The sequence below is a fragment of the Homo sapiens genome, chromosome 10 (genome assembly GCF_000001405.40).
Source record: "Homo sapiens chromosome 10, GRCh38.p14 Primary Assembly".
Taxonomy (NCBI): Eukaryota; Metazoa; Chordata; class Mammalia; order Primates; family Hominidae; genus Homo; species Homo sapiens.
In genome coordinates this window covers 124750812-124767381 of record NC_000010.11, presented here as the reverse complement: position 1 = coordinate 124767381, position 16570 = coordinate 124750812, and the positions used below count along the sequence as shown (strand labels likewise).

At 37.9% G+C, this 16570-nt stretch overlaps 1 protein-coding gene across 4 annotated transcripts in view; it reads left to right on the top strand.

Annotated features, from left to right (window-relative positions):
* The window catches only part of EEF1AKMT2 (EEF1A lysine methyltransferase 2), a 35635-nt gene extending 24506 nt beyond the window's left edge, over positions 1 to 11129 (top strand). For 2 of the 4 annotated variants that reach the window (NM_212554.4, NM_001304467.2), the window contains exons 5-7: positions 1774 to 1990; positions 4824 to 5082; positions 6879 to 9548. In NM_212554.4, the coding sequence (NP_997719.2) occupies positions 1774 to 1990; positions 4824 to 5082; position 6879 (477 nt within the window). In that variant the 3' untranslated portion in view covers positions 6880 to 9548. Of the gene's footprint in view, positions 1 to 1773; positions 1991 to 4823; positions 5083 to 6878 lie in introns of all 4 variants that reach the window. The other 2 variants (NM_001416243.1, NM_001304468.2) reach the window with 2 other exon arrangements.
* Positions 11130 to 16570: the final 5441 nt, after the last annotated feature.

Genomic DNA, 16570 nt, shown 5'->3' with positions numbered 1-16570 from the left:
GCCACCACGCCCGGCTAATTTTTTGTATTTTTAGTAGAGACAGGGTTTCACCGTGTTAGCCAGGATGGTCTTGATCTCCTGACCTCATGATCCGTCTGCCTTGGCCTCCCTAAGTGTTGGGATTACAGGCGTGAGCCACTGCGCCCGGCCAATATAAGGTATGTTTTCATACAGGGACCTTTTCTATTTTGTTTACTGTTTTTTTTTTTTTTTTTTTTTTTAAGATGGAGTCTAGCTTTGTTTCCCAGGCTGGAGTGCAATGGCGTGATCTCGGCTCACTGCAAGCTCTGCCTCCCGGGTTCACGCCATTCTCCTGCCTCAGCCTGCCGAGTAGCTGGGACTACAGGCGCCCACCACCACTCCTGGCTAATTTTTTGTATTTTTAGTAGAGACAGGATTTCACCGTGTTAGCCAGGATGGTCTTGATCTCCTGACCTCGTGATCCTCCTGCCTTGGCCTCTCAAAGTGCTGGGATTACAGGCGTGAGCCACTGCGCCTGGCTCTGTTTTGTTTACTGTTATATCCAGGGTCTGAAAAGTACCTGACAATAGATGTCCACAAAATATTTGCTGAATAGATGAGTATTTTTATATAGGCATTTAGGATGAGGAAGCCTCTTCAAAGTTAGCTCTTCAGAGTGATAGTCATTATTTTGCTTCAGGTATAATGAATACTTTGGACATGAAGGAAGGGAGAAGACCCACCTTCCAATATACATCAACATAATATATACATTTTTAAGTCAATAGAGTTTTAGATTAAACATGATTTACAATTGCTGTATTAAATGTGTGTGAATAATTGTGAGCTAATTGCCTAATTATTTTTTTCAAAATGAGTTTTCAGAATTTTCATTGGTAAATTGTGAATATTTTATAAAATTGAGGCGGATTGCTATTTCCGATGCTTAGTATGCATCAGGTTATTAACAGTGAATGAGATGGTGATGTATGACTTCACACCTCCAACTGAAGTAATTACAGTTTAACAGTTATTTAATTTCTTAAGCCTTATGCCATTCATTATATCCATTAGTAATTTCGTAAGCTGCTTAGTCAAGACCCAAGAAATTCTTTTTTTTTTTTAAAGGCTGGTCAAGTGAAGCAGTGATAATAGAGAAGGAAGGAATAAATTTGTAACTGGTTTTGATCGATTAGTTGTAAACACCACTGCACTCAGACCAGCCAAGGCCCAAGAACTTTTGATCTACCGTGTTTATTTTAGGTTACACACTAGGAATATAAGTTAAAAATCTTATTCCCATAGCTGAGTGCTGTGGCCACATCTACTTAGGAAGGCTGAGATGGGAGGATTGCTTAGCTCAGGTTTTCAAGTCTATCCCGGGCAACATAGCAAGACTCCTGTCTTCAAGAAATCTTATTTCCAGTGAACTTAGTTCCAAATAAATTGTCATTTTTAAGAATATGTCAAATTTTCTACTTTTTGACAGAAACAGGTTTTTCATAAACTAGGCTTGTGAGCTCCATAATGTGCTGGTATTATTAGGGAATATGGCTAGCTTTGATTTGTTTCCAAATTTGTAGAGATTTGGAATGTTCAGGAAATACCAGTCTCTCTTATTAATCTTGGCTTTAATGATCTTGGACTGAAGCTCATAAAAGTTAGCTATAAAGTTGAAAATATGTTTATTATATGTAAAATGCCATTATAATTAATGGGTCCTTTTATTAATAACCTTTTACAGGTTGTCACTTACATTCTGTAAGGATTTTGTTTTAATTGTTCTCACATAGACATTGACTTTTAATATAGGTAGAAGACTTTTTGAATCTCTCCACACAGCTGTCTGGATTTCATATTTGTATTGACAAAGGGACTTTTGATGCCATAAGCCTTAATCCTGACAATGCAATTGAGAAGAGGAAGCAATATGTGAAATCTCTCTCCAGGGTGTTGAAAGTAAAAGGCTTTTTTCTAATAACGTCATGTAATTGGACCAAGGAAGAGTTGCTAAATGAATTCAGTGAAGGTAAGTGACTATATGGTGTTTAAATGTGTGCTTACCTCAGGTTTCATGTACTTAAATAGGTTTTCTCCCCGTTTTGTGTTATAGTGTTTTACTTTTCTATTTGTGGGAATTGCCTGCTTTTTTCTCTGTTAATTACCTTGACAATAACTTTTGACTGTATATGCAAAGCACAGAGAAATAACATTGGTTGAGATCCAGAGATCTTTTAAAATTTTTTCTGAGAAATCTTGGCAGTTAAGTACTAACATTTATGAGCCTGTAAAAATTAAGTTCTCAGCCTGGGCAATGTGGCGAAACCCTGTGTCTGCTAAAAATACAAAAAATTAGCTGGGATTGGTGGCGCGTGCCTGTAGTCCCAGCTACTTAGGAGACTGAGGTGAGAGGATCGCATAAGCCCAGGAGGCAGAGGTTGCAGTGAGTCGAGATTGTGCCACTGCACTCCAGCCTGGGTGACAGAGTGAGACACATCTAAACAAAAAAAGAGAAAAACTTAAGTTCTCTATTTGAGTCGTACAATCTTTTATTTAAGGTATATAATCTATTATTTATAGAATCAAACAAAAAGCACATATATTGTGCTTCTGGCTTCAGTGCACTGATTTACTGGCAAATCCATAATAATGCAAATGGAAGAAGTACTTCCGTCTTACATGCTGAGAGTTTTGATATTATAGATACTTTAGCTGTCTTGCACTAGCGGTCATTTAGGTCTTCAGAGATGATAGAACAGTTCTTGGTTTCAGAGGATATAGAACAATTATTTTTAAGATTGCACGGAATTAAAATGTAGGGAATTGATAGAAGATTCTAGTGCTGAGGCAGGATCCTTTTTTGCCTAGTTAGCAAAGTGTAATTAGTGCAGTATCTACTTAGTGGAGATCTTGTGAGAACTGAGAATCTGTAATCTATACACAAAATATTTTGAGTTCTCTGGCAGACTGTTCCTTGCATTTTGTAAGAAATATTTTATCTGCCAGTTTTTTATGTAGTGCACAGGCATTTCTGGGAAAGTATCTTGAGAATCTACAGATATTTGCTTGTTTTTTCTTAGAATCCTTTTCAGATTAGTTTGTTTTTTTTTTTTTTTTGATCCTGCACTTTTTAAAGGATAGGATAAATTTTCAGGATGGAGTCTTGGGTAAATAATATGGTACTCAATATTTGGTTAAATTTTGAACCTCAGTTGTCACAAGCTAATGGAAAGTGAATTACCTCAAGAGAATAGTTTACTGTGTACCATTATTTATAACCGTACTGCATATACCTTATTTTAGAGTTTGTTTTCTTTTTAGTATTAAGGGAACAGGCTGGGAGAACACTTAATACATGTCCTTTTGTGTGTGTTCAATGGCTTTGACAGATTATATAATGTAAAACCTGAAGTGTTTGAGGCTTGAAATATGAGCTTATGGCTTCATTACTATTGCCTCTGGAAAACAAGAATTATATGTGATTTATTGTCTTTTCTTTCATGCCATTTATTTTATTATCTTCCATGTTAAATTTGTTTCCTTTAGAACTGTTGAGGCCCTGTATCAATAAGTCTTTCCTCTTCCTGAACTTTGACAGTTTTAATAAATGCTCAAAGTTACACTGTGTAGGGCAAGTTTCTTTCCTGGTTTTTAAATACAGGTGTTCTTTTTTACTCCTAGAACCAGCAGACAAAAACATATTTGTCTGTCTTTGATAATGAGGAACAGACTTTAGCCTGGTTAGAGTACTTAAAAATGTGTCTTTGTCTGAAAACTATTAAGTAAACTATGTTCAATTTTAGAACAAAATACAGAATTTAAGCAAAATATTATAATGGGAAATGTTATATAAATAATTATATACAATTGAAAACATTTTTTAGGCATGAGTCCCTTAGAAAATGGTATTTGGAGTTAGATATGGGACAGTAACAGAATACACTGCCTTGCGTCACTGCCAAAGGTCTTGTTCCTGACTACTCATACTGGCTGCCACATTCTCTTTGCATAAAATAAAGCTTGTTTCACCAATCTTTTAAGGTTCTTTCTTATTTGAACTATAAATGTTCATAAAATTGTTGAAACAGATCTTGCATTTTTTCCATGATACCCCTGATTGTACAAATACTTTGTGTTATAATTTTTTTAGTGAGGGTTACCTGGAACCAGTTGCCCATGTTCTAATTTGATGTCGAAGGGACTTGACTTTATGACAGTGAATGAATGAAAACAATAACCACCCATCTTACTTCAGAAGCAATTTAAGGGAGTCTTTCTGAATCTATTCAGGTTTGGGGAGCTATCCTTTAAAAGAAAAAGTAATTCAAATTTATTATCTAAATAATTGAAAAATATCAATAACGTCAACACATAAGCATACAGATTAAAATAATTAAGACAATTTGTTTACCATCAGTGGAGTACAACCACTATTAATATTTTGGTATATTCTATTTTGAAATATAATAACTCCAATTCTGTAGGGTTAGTTCAGGGAGTTGAAAAGTTAGTCCTGGAAAATTTATACAGACAGAAAATTTTTATTATTAAATATCCAGAGCATTTGTAAAATTTTTGAAAACAAATATGGGTGTATAACTATGCATGTATCCAGGACAATGCCTGCATTTTCCAGCATTAAGAAACATCATATTATTTTATTAAAAGGAATGTCATAATTTGGAAAAGTTTTCTTACGATAAGCTTTTAATAAGCATTATAATATTCGGTTATTATGATTTGGTGAAATTAGATAACATGAATTAGGATGTATAATGAAATAGTATGATAGACCAATTGATGCAATAATATAATTTTTATTTCTGTTTTTGAAACGGTCTGTCTCTCTCTCTGTTGCCCAGGTTGGAGTACAGTGGCAGGATTTTGGCTCACTGCAGCCTTGACTTCCTGGGCTCAAGCGATCTTTTCCACTTCAGCCTCCCGAGTAGGTGGAACTACAGGCACACATCATCATGCCTGGATAATTTTTGTATTTTTAGCAGAGACGAGGTTTTGCCATGTTGTCCAGGCTGGTCTGGAACTCCTGGGCTCAAGTGATTCTCCCACCTGGCCTCCCAAAGTGCTGGGATTATACCATGCCAGGCCCTCGTTGGCATTTTAGTAAGTGACCTTCCAGCTTTATTTATTTTTTAAAAGCAAAATAATATAACATTTTATTTCATAGTTTAGGAAAACACTACATTACCTTATTTGGATCTTTACAAAATCACAGTGAATTTGATGGCGTGGGGTGGCGCATTGGCGTTAGTAGCTTAAGGCTGGGATTAGAGGCCTGAGCCATTGCACCCGGCCAGTATACATCACTTAAAACATTTTTTTCTGTTTATAAGAGTTATTTGAGCTCAAAGCATGAAAATTTAGAAAAATACAGAACCCCACCCCTGCCTCAAGAAAAAAATATTCCAAAACTAATAGGTCCATCAATGAGGGAAAACCTTGATTGGCGTTTTATTTTACTTTAATTTTAAAATTTATTTTGAGACAGAGTCTGGCTCTGTTGCCCAGGCTGGAGTGCAGTGGGATAATCTCGGCTTACCACAGCCTCCATCATCCAGGCATCTCCCACTTCAGCCTCCCAAGTAGCTGGGACTACAGGCGCACAGGCACAGGCCACCACAACGGCTTATTTTTGTATTTTTTTAGAGATGGGGTTTCGCCATGTTGCCCCGGCTGGTCTTGAATACCTAGCCTTAAGTGATAGAAAGTGCATAGAAATCAGGATCATGGTAGAGGTAACTTGACAGCCTGTCTCATTTAGTAAGTGCTGAAGCTGAGACTTCACCTAGGATTTTAGATTCCAAGTTAATTTTTTGAACCTAGGATTTGAACCTAGGATTTTAGACGCCAAGTTAATTTTTTTTAAACCATACTGTGATGCTTTGAAAGTTACTAGTTCCTTGTCTTCCAGGCCCTTTATTAGTTCGTTTAGTTTGAGTCTTCATCTTTGTTATAAATTACTGTTTTTAATTCTGCTGAAATACACATAACATACCATTTTATAACCATTTTTAAGTGTATACTTATGTGGTATTAAGTACATTTACATTTTTTTGTGCAATTGTCATCACTACCCTTCTCCAGAACTTTTTCATCTTCTACAAATTCATTTATATTTCCAAGTTATTTTGCCTTTCTGTATTAAGTGCTTTAATATGTGTGGTGTGAATTAATTAGATTACTACATATGAAGCACTCAAAATAATGCCTGGCGCTTAGCAAGAACTCAACACAGGGCCAGGCGATGTTGCTCACGCCTGTAATCCTAGCACTTTGGGAGGCTGAGGTGGGTGGATCACTTGAGATCAGGCGTTCCAGACCAGCCTGGCCAACATGGCGAAACCCTGTCTCTACTAAAATATGAAAAATTAGCCGGGTGTGGTGGTGCATAACTGTAATTCTAGCTACTTGGGAGGCTGAAGTGAGAATCGCTTGAACTCTGGAGGCAGAGGTTGCAGTGAGCTGAGCTTGTGCCACTGCACTCCAGCCTCGGTGATGGAGTGAGACTCCGTCTCAAAAAGCAAACAAACAAACAAAAAAACTCGACACATGCTAGCTGCTTCCTACAAACCAGGTGATAGAGGCTAACAGAGATACAGCTTTGCAGAGATGACAAACAGGAAGTGGAGGAAATGGGAGGTGGATGGAAAGCCTGTTTTTTCCAAATTGTTTTTGGTCTTGTCTTTTCCTTGTTAAATTCAAAGTGATTTTGGAGGAGCATACATATGCTGTACATACATAGTAGAATTGAAAAATCATGAAGTGAAATTCAGCACAATTTAGAGTTTGGAATCATAGTTTTACAAAGGGTTCAATGGTACAGTGTTAATGCATGCATATAAATACATGTAAGTATGAGACTCAATTCTTAATAAAAGTATTTAAATTTTGTCTGACAGGATTTGAACTTCTCGAAGAGCTACCAACACCCAAGTTCAGCTTTGGAGGCAGATCTGGAAACAGTGTAGCAGCATTGGTTTTCCAAAAAATGTGAGACTTTTTCTTGGACGAATTCAGGTAGCTACACAGAATCTACACAGCAAAGTTAACCTGACACAGAAAATCCTTGTGCAAATAAATGCTTAGTAAGTACACAGGATGCACATGTTGAATAGAGTATACTGGATTGGTGAAAGAAAATAATAATAATGAGCATCTAAGTGGTTGGGTTTTAGAGATCAATCAAGAATAATTTTAATTTTCTTTTGTATTTGAAATGTAAATAGTTTTCTTTTCGATTAAAAAAATTTCCTATAACTGCTAAACAGTTAAAAACTTTAAAGTAGTAAATGAGTTTATAGAAAGCATGTATTCTTGATTTTTGTGCCTTGGTAAAGTTGATAACTATTTATGAATATTTGACCAAATTATTCCAGCATCAGAATAATAAGCAAAATAACTTTGTTAGTGTTTTGTTAGACTGTTTATGAAATATAACAAGAAATACTATTTTGTGTTGGATGGCGGTTATTTTTAAACTTAATTAATACCTGTGAAAAGGCCTCTTACCTTTATGTATATAATTAAACAAAATCAGAGAAATGTATCAGTTGCTCAAGTTATCAAGCCTGCATTTTGCAGCTATGGTCTTCTACACACTGTAAGGGTAGTAGAAGGAAAGAGAACTAAGGAATGTTATTATTTGCTAGCGCTATGTTAAGTTGTCTTATTAAGTAATTGAGTCCTTTCAATGTCTTCTTGAGGTATGTATTGCTTGTTCTTGTTTCTACGTATAAGGAAAATGAAGCTGAGAGAAGTGAAGTCACTTTTATGAGGTTCAACAGTACAGGATGGAGCCAGGATTTTTATCTGGGTCTGTCTGACTTTAAAACACATACTCTTCTCCTAGCATATTCTGCCTCACAGGTGCTTAGTCTTTGCCTTTGTAGCATTTACAGTACAGCTGGAGACCCATGATGATTACATATAAAGTTCAGTTAGAAAAGATGGGTAGTTACTTTATTAGTGTTCATCTGTGGAGTATCAGAATAGCAGTCAGCCAACTCTGTCTCATATCATCCTTCATTACTTTTCCCCATCTCCCTACTCAAAGACTTGCCTCTATTAAGAATTTTGTCATTCTTCTGTGAAAGGGTAGTGTAAGTTATATAAGCCCTCAGCGATACATGCACAAAGATGTTCTAGTTAGGGGCTAATTTGGCAAGAGAAACAGTTTATTAATGTTTTTGAAAAGATAAGTCATATTCATACTTAATACCATTTTGTATTTGTGGTAATATTTTAATATTGGAGCTAAATACAAATTTTTGCATAATTTTTTGATGATTTTCAGCTTTGTGGGCCTATTGGGTTACATAAGTGACTTTTTGTTTGGCAAATGTTACTCCTGTATTGAGTAAGTCTAACATTACGTCCCTTTTCTTTTTGGGGAGGGGTAGCCAGAGGAGTGAGTTTTTCATTTAGATCAACATTGATCAACCATTAAGACAAGATAGTTGAAGACATGTATGTGGACTGTCAACAAAAATAACATTTTTTGAAAAGCTTTTATTTTCAACATGTAAAAAGTGAGAAATTACTTCAAAATATATGCAATTTAAATTTTTTAGAAGATTGTGTTGATTTTACCAAGACAGGAGATCTTAAACTGTAGAAACTTTTATAGTTTTTGAGATCGGGTCTTTGTTTTTTTTCACATTAATATTCTTTGATTTCAAATATAACATAGATAAGTACTCTTAGAATTTTGAGTTAAGTATATGCTATTTTAATGTGCTAATCCTACAAACTAGGCTTTCTGTGTGACTAGACTGAGATGTTGAGTTTGATTCACAAAAAGCTTAGAATGGTTCTTTGTTGAAAAGCTTTTCGAGTCACTATTTGGGGCATGTTAGTGCCATTTGCAAAGGTGAAGGTTTTCTTTTTTTTTTTTTTTTTAACCATAGAGCTTTTGATAAGGTTAGGAAAAGGAAGTTGTCATCTCTTCTTATTACTCTAATCCTGCTGGAAGCTAGCTTCTTAGGGACTAAAACCAGAACAAATGGAAGGTCCAAAAATGCTAATAAGAAATTAGTATTTTCACATAATACCAAACTGTAAAAACCAGGCCAGCAAGTGTCACCAGGTTCCTGAAACAAACCATAAATACATTATTTAACTTAGTATTGTTAAATTGTATAAATATGTGGGTAACTGTGACAGAAATTATGCACTTATAAAAAGCAGTAAGTTACATAGTGAATGCTGTTTTCTGTGGATAAGAAGCTGGAATTGTGATTTCATTTAATCGAAAGACGCTTACTTTGAGGAAACTTGTTTGAAATGCAAACGCGATTTCTCTGTGGAGCCTTCACGGAATTGCTGCTTTTCACTATGATTATTGCTGCATAACAGGCCACTTCTGTGTGTAGGAAGTGCGTGTGCAAGTCCAAAGGGAATTGAGGCCTGAATGGGTGGGTTATCCCAATTAACAAATACAAAGTTTTCAGTACATTTTGTTTTAAGCCAGGTGCACAAGTTAGAGTTGCTTTTTGGGACTGGCATTTATGTATGTGAGAATCAAACCTGATATCACTCTTGGCAGCCTGACTAAAGCCATTTAAAAATAAGTACAAATTGTCCTTGAATGATTTTTTTCCCATTGTAGTAGCACTGAATTTTCCTTTTTTCTTCATCTGTGGTACGCATGCAATCTTCTGGGTTTTGTTTTTTTGTTTTTTTTTTGAAGAAATAAGGGAGCTAAGTATATACAAAAGACTTTTAGTCTTTTTATGAATCATGTGCTTCAGTGGACTTACTTATTTTAAAATTTCTATGATACTGTAATGTGGTACTGTATGTTGACCTCAATTCACATTTATCCAGAGTATAATAGAAACCTCAATTTTTAAGGAACTTATATTAGTAGTTAAGTTTCTTATGGCCTTGAAATAATTTTCTTCAAATTGGTATACAAAGAAATAGTGTATCCCTGCTATGTTAATGACTTTCGTCTATGTTCTTTTAAGTAATTTTATTTTACGAATTGTGTGTGTGTATGTGTGTGTGTCTCTGTCTGGTAGCCTACAATGAAAATCTGTACAAATGTGAACAGTTTGTCTCCAGGGGAGAGCCCTGGGGTTTGATTTCCTGTTTTTGGCTCTGTAAGCTAACGTGTATGTGCTCCTGGACAGCCCTCTGCTTTGAGAGTATGAGACCAAGTGTCTTGTGTTCCACAGTAGTAACCTCTTTAGCTAATGTCGTGTGTGTGTGTGTGTGTGTGTGTGTGTGTGTGTGGGAGGGAGTGTTGATGGGCTCTGAAAGAAGTCTTGTCTCGTACATTTCACTGAATGAAGGCTGCCCATGACCTAGAGCTTGATTGTGGGAGGTGAAGAGCATATATGGCTGAAAGACAATTGCATAGTGGGGAAAAAAATTAGGAAATCCTTACATTTCTCTTGGTTAGGCAGGAAACAGAGATGTCCATAGAAGAAGAGGGAGCTCATCAGCATGTTTTATTAACAGTTAATGGAAGAAAATTAATGCTAATTTATTCTTCATATACACCATGCAATTTGTTAGAAAAGTAAAAGAATAGTTTGAAATTCTTTGGTCAATTGATGGATTCCTATGTTCAGGGCATAGAAATGAAACTCAACATCAAGCAGACAAATACCCAAGCCCACAGGCTACATAAATGCTGAATAAAACCAGCTCTACAATGGAACTCTGAAAAGCGACGGGTAAGAAGCCTAATGAATGATTGAATATGACCTTAGCAAAATCCCTGGAGTGTTGTTGAACGATCATTCATTTCCAGCTTAGATGTCAAGATGGGCTCCAGTAACCAGGAAAAAAGAGAGCTTGAGTCAGTACTTACTGAGTTTTAAAAATCTTTTGCAACACAGTGTATTAGACTGATCATTAAAAGGACTTCTCTAGCTGAATTTTGAGCTGTCACTATAGTTTAGGCCCAGGGAAATAAACTTAAAAAGATAGGAATAATTCCTAAGACATGAATGTATCAATATCCTATCCTGCTTTTCTGGAGTAGGACTTCAAAAACTGAAATGTATAGGCTGGCAGAATGTACTTTTGTCATGCTGATACCACTGTAAAAGAGACTTAAACTAGGAGATCAGTTGAGCCCTAAAGTATTTGCAAATTACTTGCCTAGCTTGTTAGAAGAAGAAATAAAAAGCCAAAATCTACATTTTTGTTTTCAAAAGAAATGATTTCTTTGTTTCCTGAAGAGATGAGAAAAGATAAATTCTTCCATGTTATATTTTTACGTACGTATTTTTATTACTGTACTGTATCAACAAATGATAAGTATTTTAATGAGTGATCTTTATTGTTCATAGTAGCTGGAAGCATCTTAAGAAAAGCAAATCTAATACATCTGTTTTCCCAAATATGTAAAAATTTACACATGTTCCAGCAATTAGCATATCGTGTATATTTCTGAGTAGCTTAGGAAAAAATATGAAAACACTCTGGTTGAATAAGGGGACTGTGAACTGTATTTCTCATTTTTCATTAATATATTACAGATCAGGCAGCTTATCATTGATGATAGCAGAATCGAAATGGCATTGGGATGGCTGTAGTTCCCCAGCTTTGCCTGCCTTACTGCTGCAAAGAGGAGAGAACTGTTGGGAGGAAGAGGCTAAATGTAGAAGAGTGTGGGTGCTGTCAGTTCACATTTTCCTCCTAACCCTTCTGCTAATAGGAAAATGTCAGGCCTTTGTTCCCATCTAATTTTAGTACATCCTGGCTAAAAAAATGTTAGGATGAAAAAATGTTAGGATGATTTCCAACCATGGAACTTTGAGGGGTGGGGTAGGGGAAGGAAGAATGGAGGAAAGCGCAGTTTATACTCCATATCCGTCTGCCTTTCTGCAACAGCAGCTAGCCCCTACTCTGTTGATTTGGGTAATGAAATAAATTTAGATGCATTGAAGCAGTGATAATTAGGTTTTCCTTCTATCTTCTCAGTAAGAAGCCTAGTTGGTTTCTGAATGGGGAAAGTCATAATATGGTATTTAATGAAACATACCTGGCAAAATTAAAGAGCTGTACGCAAGCTTTGGAAGAAAGGCCTGAAATTGTGAGTGCAAACTACATGTGGTGCTATGTATAAATAGAACCTTTGAGATGCATTTGTATTTCAGGGAAGCTGCTTTTATACTGTTATTTTGAATGAGAGTAATATTTTGATTTTTAAGAATCAGTCATAAGCAAGGCACACAAGGCTGAGCTGTTTATCCCCTCTGTAAACCCAACAGGCCTAGAGGGAAAGCCCAGATTCAGTGAGAGAGCCAGTTGGATCAAACAATTGATAATATAGTTTGTTCAAGAGATAGGACAGAATTATTGGCTTTGTAGTTGAAACTACCAACTGTTGTGGTTGTTATTTAATTAAAAAGTAATTAACTGAATTAAACTAAAAGGGCAATTCTGAATACTGGAGCTCACTACGAAATAAGCTGTCTTCCCCCAGTATTCAGTTAGTGAGCTAAGGTATCCTGTTGGAATTTGTATGATGAAGACATTATGTAGCAGAAGTGAGATCATTTCATTATTTGCAATGAATTAAGCAGATTATTTTCTGAACTTGAAATTCAGTTGAATTTATTTTGGTTCCTTTCATTTTATAACAGCAGGTAATTTGTTAAAATCTATTAAGCAATAGAATAGATGTCAAACAAATGATTTTTAAAAATATTTAATTTTGGAGAAAAAATGATTAGACCTAGCCAAGTTACTTTTCTTTTCTGGTCTTCAGTTTTTCTCTCCATAAAACAGGGGCACTTAGTGATATTTAACATTCTGTATCCTTGTTAGCTCATGTTGCCATAATAAAATACCATGAACTTGGTGGCTTAAACAACAGAAATTTATTTCTAGAAAGTTAGTTCTGGAGGCTGGAATTCCAAGATCATCGTGCTGGCAAGGTATGTTTTATTTTAAGGCCTCTTCTCTAGGCTTGTAGGTGGCTGACATCTATGTGTGTCTGCATGACTTCTTTGTGTGCAATGGGGTTGGAGGAGAGAGAGCGCATAAGCTCTCTGGTGTCTCTTCTTATAAAGAGCACTAACCCCGGCCGGGCATGGTGGCTCAAGTCTGTAATCCCAGTACTTTGGGAGGCCAGGGAGGGCAGATTACCATAGGTCAGTAGTTCAAACCAGCCTGGCCAACATGGTGAAACCCCGTGTCTACTAAAAATACAAAAATTAGCCGGGCCTGGTGGCACACACCTGTAATCCCAGCTACTCGGGAGGCTGAGGCAGGAGAATTGCTTGAACCTTGGAGGTGGAGGTTGCAGTGAGCCAAGATACACCACGGCACTCCAGCCTGGGTGACAGAGCGAGACTCCATCTCAAAAAAAACAAACAAAAACAAAGTAAAGAGCACTAACCCCATCCTGAGGGCCTCACTCTCATGGCCTCATCTAACCCTAATTATTTCACAAAGGCCCTATCTCCAAATATCATCACATTGGGGGTAGGGGGTCAGGGCTTCAATATGTGGATTGTAGGGGAAACCAGCATTTAGTCCATAATACTCCTGAAATCAATTAAGGCTTAGAAAAAGCCCTACAAAATAGGCTTCTAGAATAGCTGTCCCTTGGTATGCACGAGGGATACTGGGACCACCTGCTTATAACCAAATCTATACATAGGTGAGTTTTGCATCCCAAGAATATTGGATTATCCATCTGAGTTTGGTTGAAAAAAGCCAAGTATAAGTGGACCCGCATAGTTCAAACCCATGTTGTTCAAGGGTCGACTGTATAGATGGGGAGATTAAATACCCCGTTTGCTAACTCTCAGTTGTTAGGTAACTTGATGGTTCTTTTAAACCAAGGTATCTGTACTCATATATACATATGTACATAAAATATTTGAAGCAGTCAGATGAGTATTCAATCTAAAAAAAACCTTTGTCCATGTTTTCTTAAACTTTGTATTTGAGTATTGTCACTGATATCTATTTGATAAGTTTGTATACATTTGAGCAAAGGGTTTTTTTTTTTTTCTTTGAGACAGAGTCTCACTCTGTCGCCCAGGTTGGAGTGCAATGGCACAATCTTGGCTCACTGCAAGCTCTGTCTCCCGGGTTCAAGCGATTCTCCTGCCTCAGCCTCCTGAGTAGCTGGGACTACAGGCGCCTGCCACCACCCCTGGCTAATTTTTTGTATTTTTGGTAGAGACGGGGTTTCACCATGTTAGCCAGGATGGTCTCGATCTCCTGACCTCGTGATCCACCCGCCTCGGCCTCCCAAAGTGCTGGGATTACAGGCGTGAGCCACCGCGCCTGGCCTATTTTTTTTTTTTTTAGATAGGTTCTCTCTCTGTCACCCAGTCACCCAGGCTGGAGTACAGTGGTGTGATCATGACTCACTGCAGCCTTGACCTCCCAGGCTTAAGTGATCCTCCTGTCTCAGCCTCCCTAGCAGCTGGGGCTACAGGTGCATGCCACCATGTCAGGCCAATTTTCCTATTTTTTGTAGAGATGGGGTCTCACTATGTTGCCTAGGCTGGTCTTGAACTCCTGAGCTCAAGTGATCCTCCTGCCTCAGCCTCTCAGAGTGTTGAGATTACCAACGTGAGCTACCGTGCCTGGCCTAGAGATATCCAGGAAATTTAGGAATTTACATCTTATTGTTTAGTCCACTTCCATTTTTATATATAGAGATCAAGACTGGGCCTTAGGAAAATTGTGATAATTTGAGGAATCTCCCCAATATGGTTCTTTTTTGACACAAGACACAAACTACACACAGATTACCTAATTTGCCACTCTAAGATGAGTATAGTATATGGGTATAGTATATGGGTCTGCCCTTCTTTTTTTTTTTTTTTTTTTTTGAGATGGAGTCTCGCTCTGTCGCCCAGGCTGGAGTGCAGTGGCGCGATCTCGGCTCACTGCAAGCTTCGTCTCCTGGGTTCACGCCATTCTCCTGCCTCAGCCTCCTGAGTAGCTGGGACTACAGGTGCCTGCCACCATGCCCGGCTACTTTTTTTGTATTTTTTTTTAGTAGAGACGGGGTTTCACCATGTTAGCCAGGATGGTCTTGATCTCCTGACCTCGTGAGCCACCCGCCTCGGCCTCCCAAAGTGCTGGGATTACAGGCGTGAGCCACCGTGCCCAGCCCTTGCCCTTCTTATATATAGTATGCTGTATATACTACAGTGTATATAGTATATGGGTCTGCCCTTCTTATACATAGTATGCTGTATATACTACAGTATATATAGTATATGGGTCTGCCCTTCTTATATATAGTATGCTGTATATACTACAGTATATATAGTATATGAGTCTGCCCTTCTTATGCCCTGTGTCTCTCCAGGCTACTGTCAGTTTGTCTCTGTAACTGCTTATTTCCCCAGTGAAACAGAAGTATGTTAAAGGTGATAGCAAAGTACCTTCTGTATAGTAGGTACTTAAGGTTGGTTTCCCTTCCCTACATTTCTTTGAAACAGCTTGGAGAGAGAAGCAGTGGTTTAGACCCTGCATATTAGGAATGTGAATATTAAGTGAGAAATGTAAAGCAGCTTAGCGGGATTGCTGGCACACACCAAGGCTAAATCAGTGTTCATTCCTCCAAGGACCCTTCTTCCCATGGAGCTAATATGTTTAATTGTTTGAGATTTTACCCCTCAGTGCCACAGTTTTAGTATATTCAGTTCCATTGTAGGCATTTGTGTTCTAGGAGTGATTAAATGAGTGAAGAGAGGCGGAGTGCTAGACAAGTGAGAGGGAAAGTTTAGGTAGGCCTTTCAGAACTTCTTAGAAATCATACTGTGTAGCTTCTTCCTTAATCTCTAGCTAGCGCTGGTGCTGAAGCACTTATTTATTTTTTTGACAGACCAAGTCTCACTGTATTGCTTGGCTGGAGTCAGACTCCTGGCCTCAAGCAGTCCTTCTGCCTCAACGTCTTAAGTAGCTGGGACTCCTGAGCGGTACACTGTGCTGGGCTTGAAGTACTTTTTTTTTTTTTTTTCAGTCATTTAAGAAATGAGGATCACATATTGGCCGGGCGCGGTGGCTCACGCCTGTAATCCCAGCACTTTAGGAGGCCGAGACGGGCGCATCACGAGGTCAGGAGATCGAGACCATCCTGGCTAACATGGTGAAACCCTGTCTCTACTAAAAATACAAAAAAATCAGCCAGGGGTGGTGGCAGGCGCCTGTAGTCCCAGCTACCGGGAGGCTGAGGCAGGAGAATGGCATGAACCCGGGAGGCGGAGCTTGCAGTGAGCTGAGATAGTGCCACTGCACTCCAGCCTGGGCGACTGAGCGAGACCCCATCTCAAAAAAAAAAAAAAGAAATGAGGACCAGATATTATAATGCCAGATTTTCATGAAATGTCCTTTATGATGTGTCAGCAGAGACTAAGAATACCCCTCGGATTTAGATCGTTACCTGTTTTAAGTGGTAATTTTTTTTTTTTTTTTTTTTGGAGACAGGGTCTCACTATGTCACCCAGGTTGGAGTAGGGTGGTGCAATCATGGCTCATTGCAACCTCAACCTCCTGGGCTCAAGTGATCCTCCAACCTCAGCCTCCATAGTAGGTGGGACCACAGGCACGTGCCACCACACCCAGCTATTTTTTGTAATTTTTGTAGAGACAAGGTTTC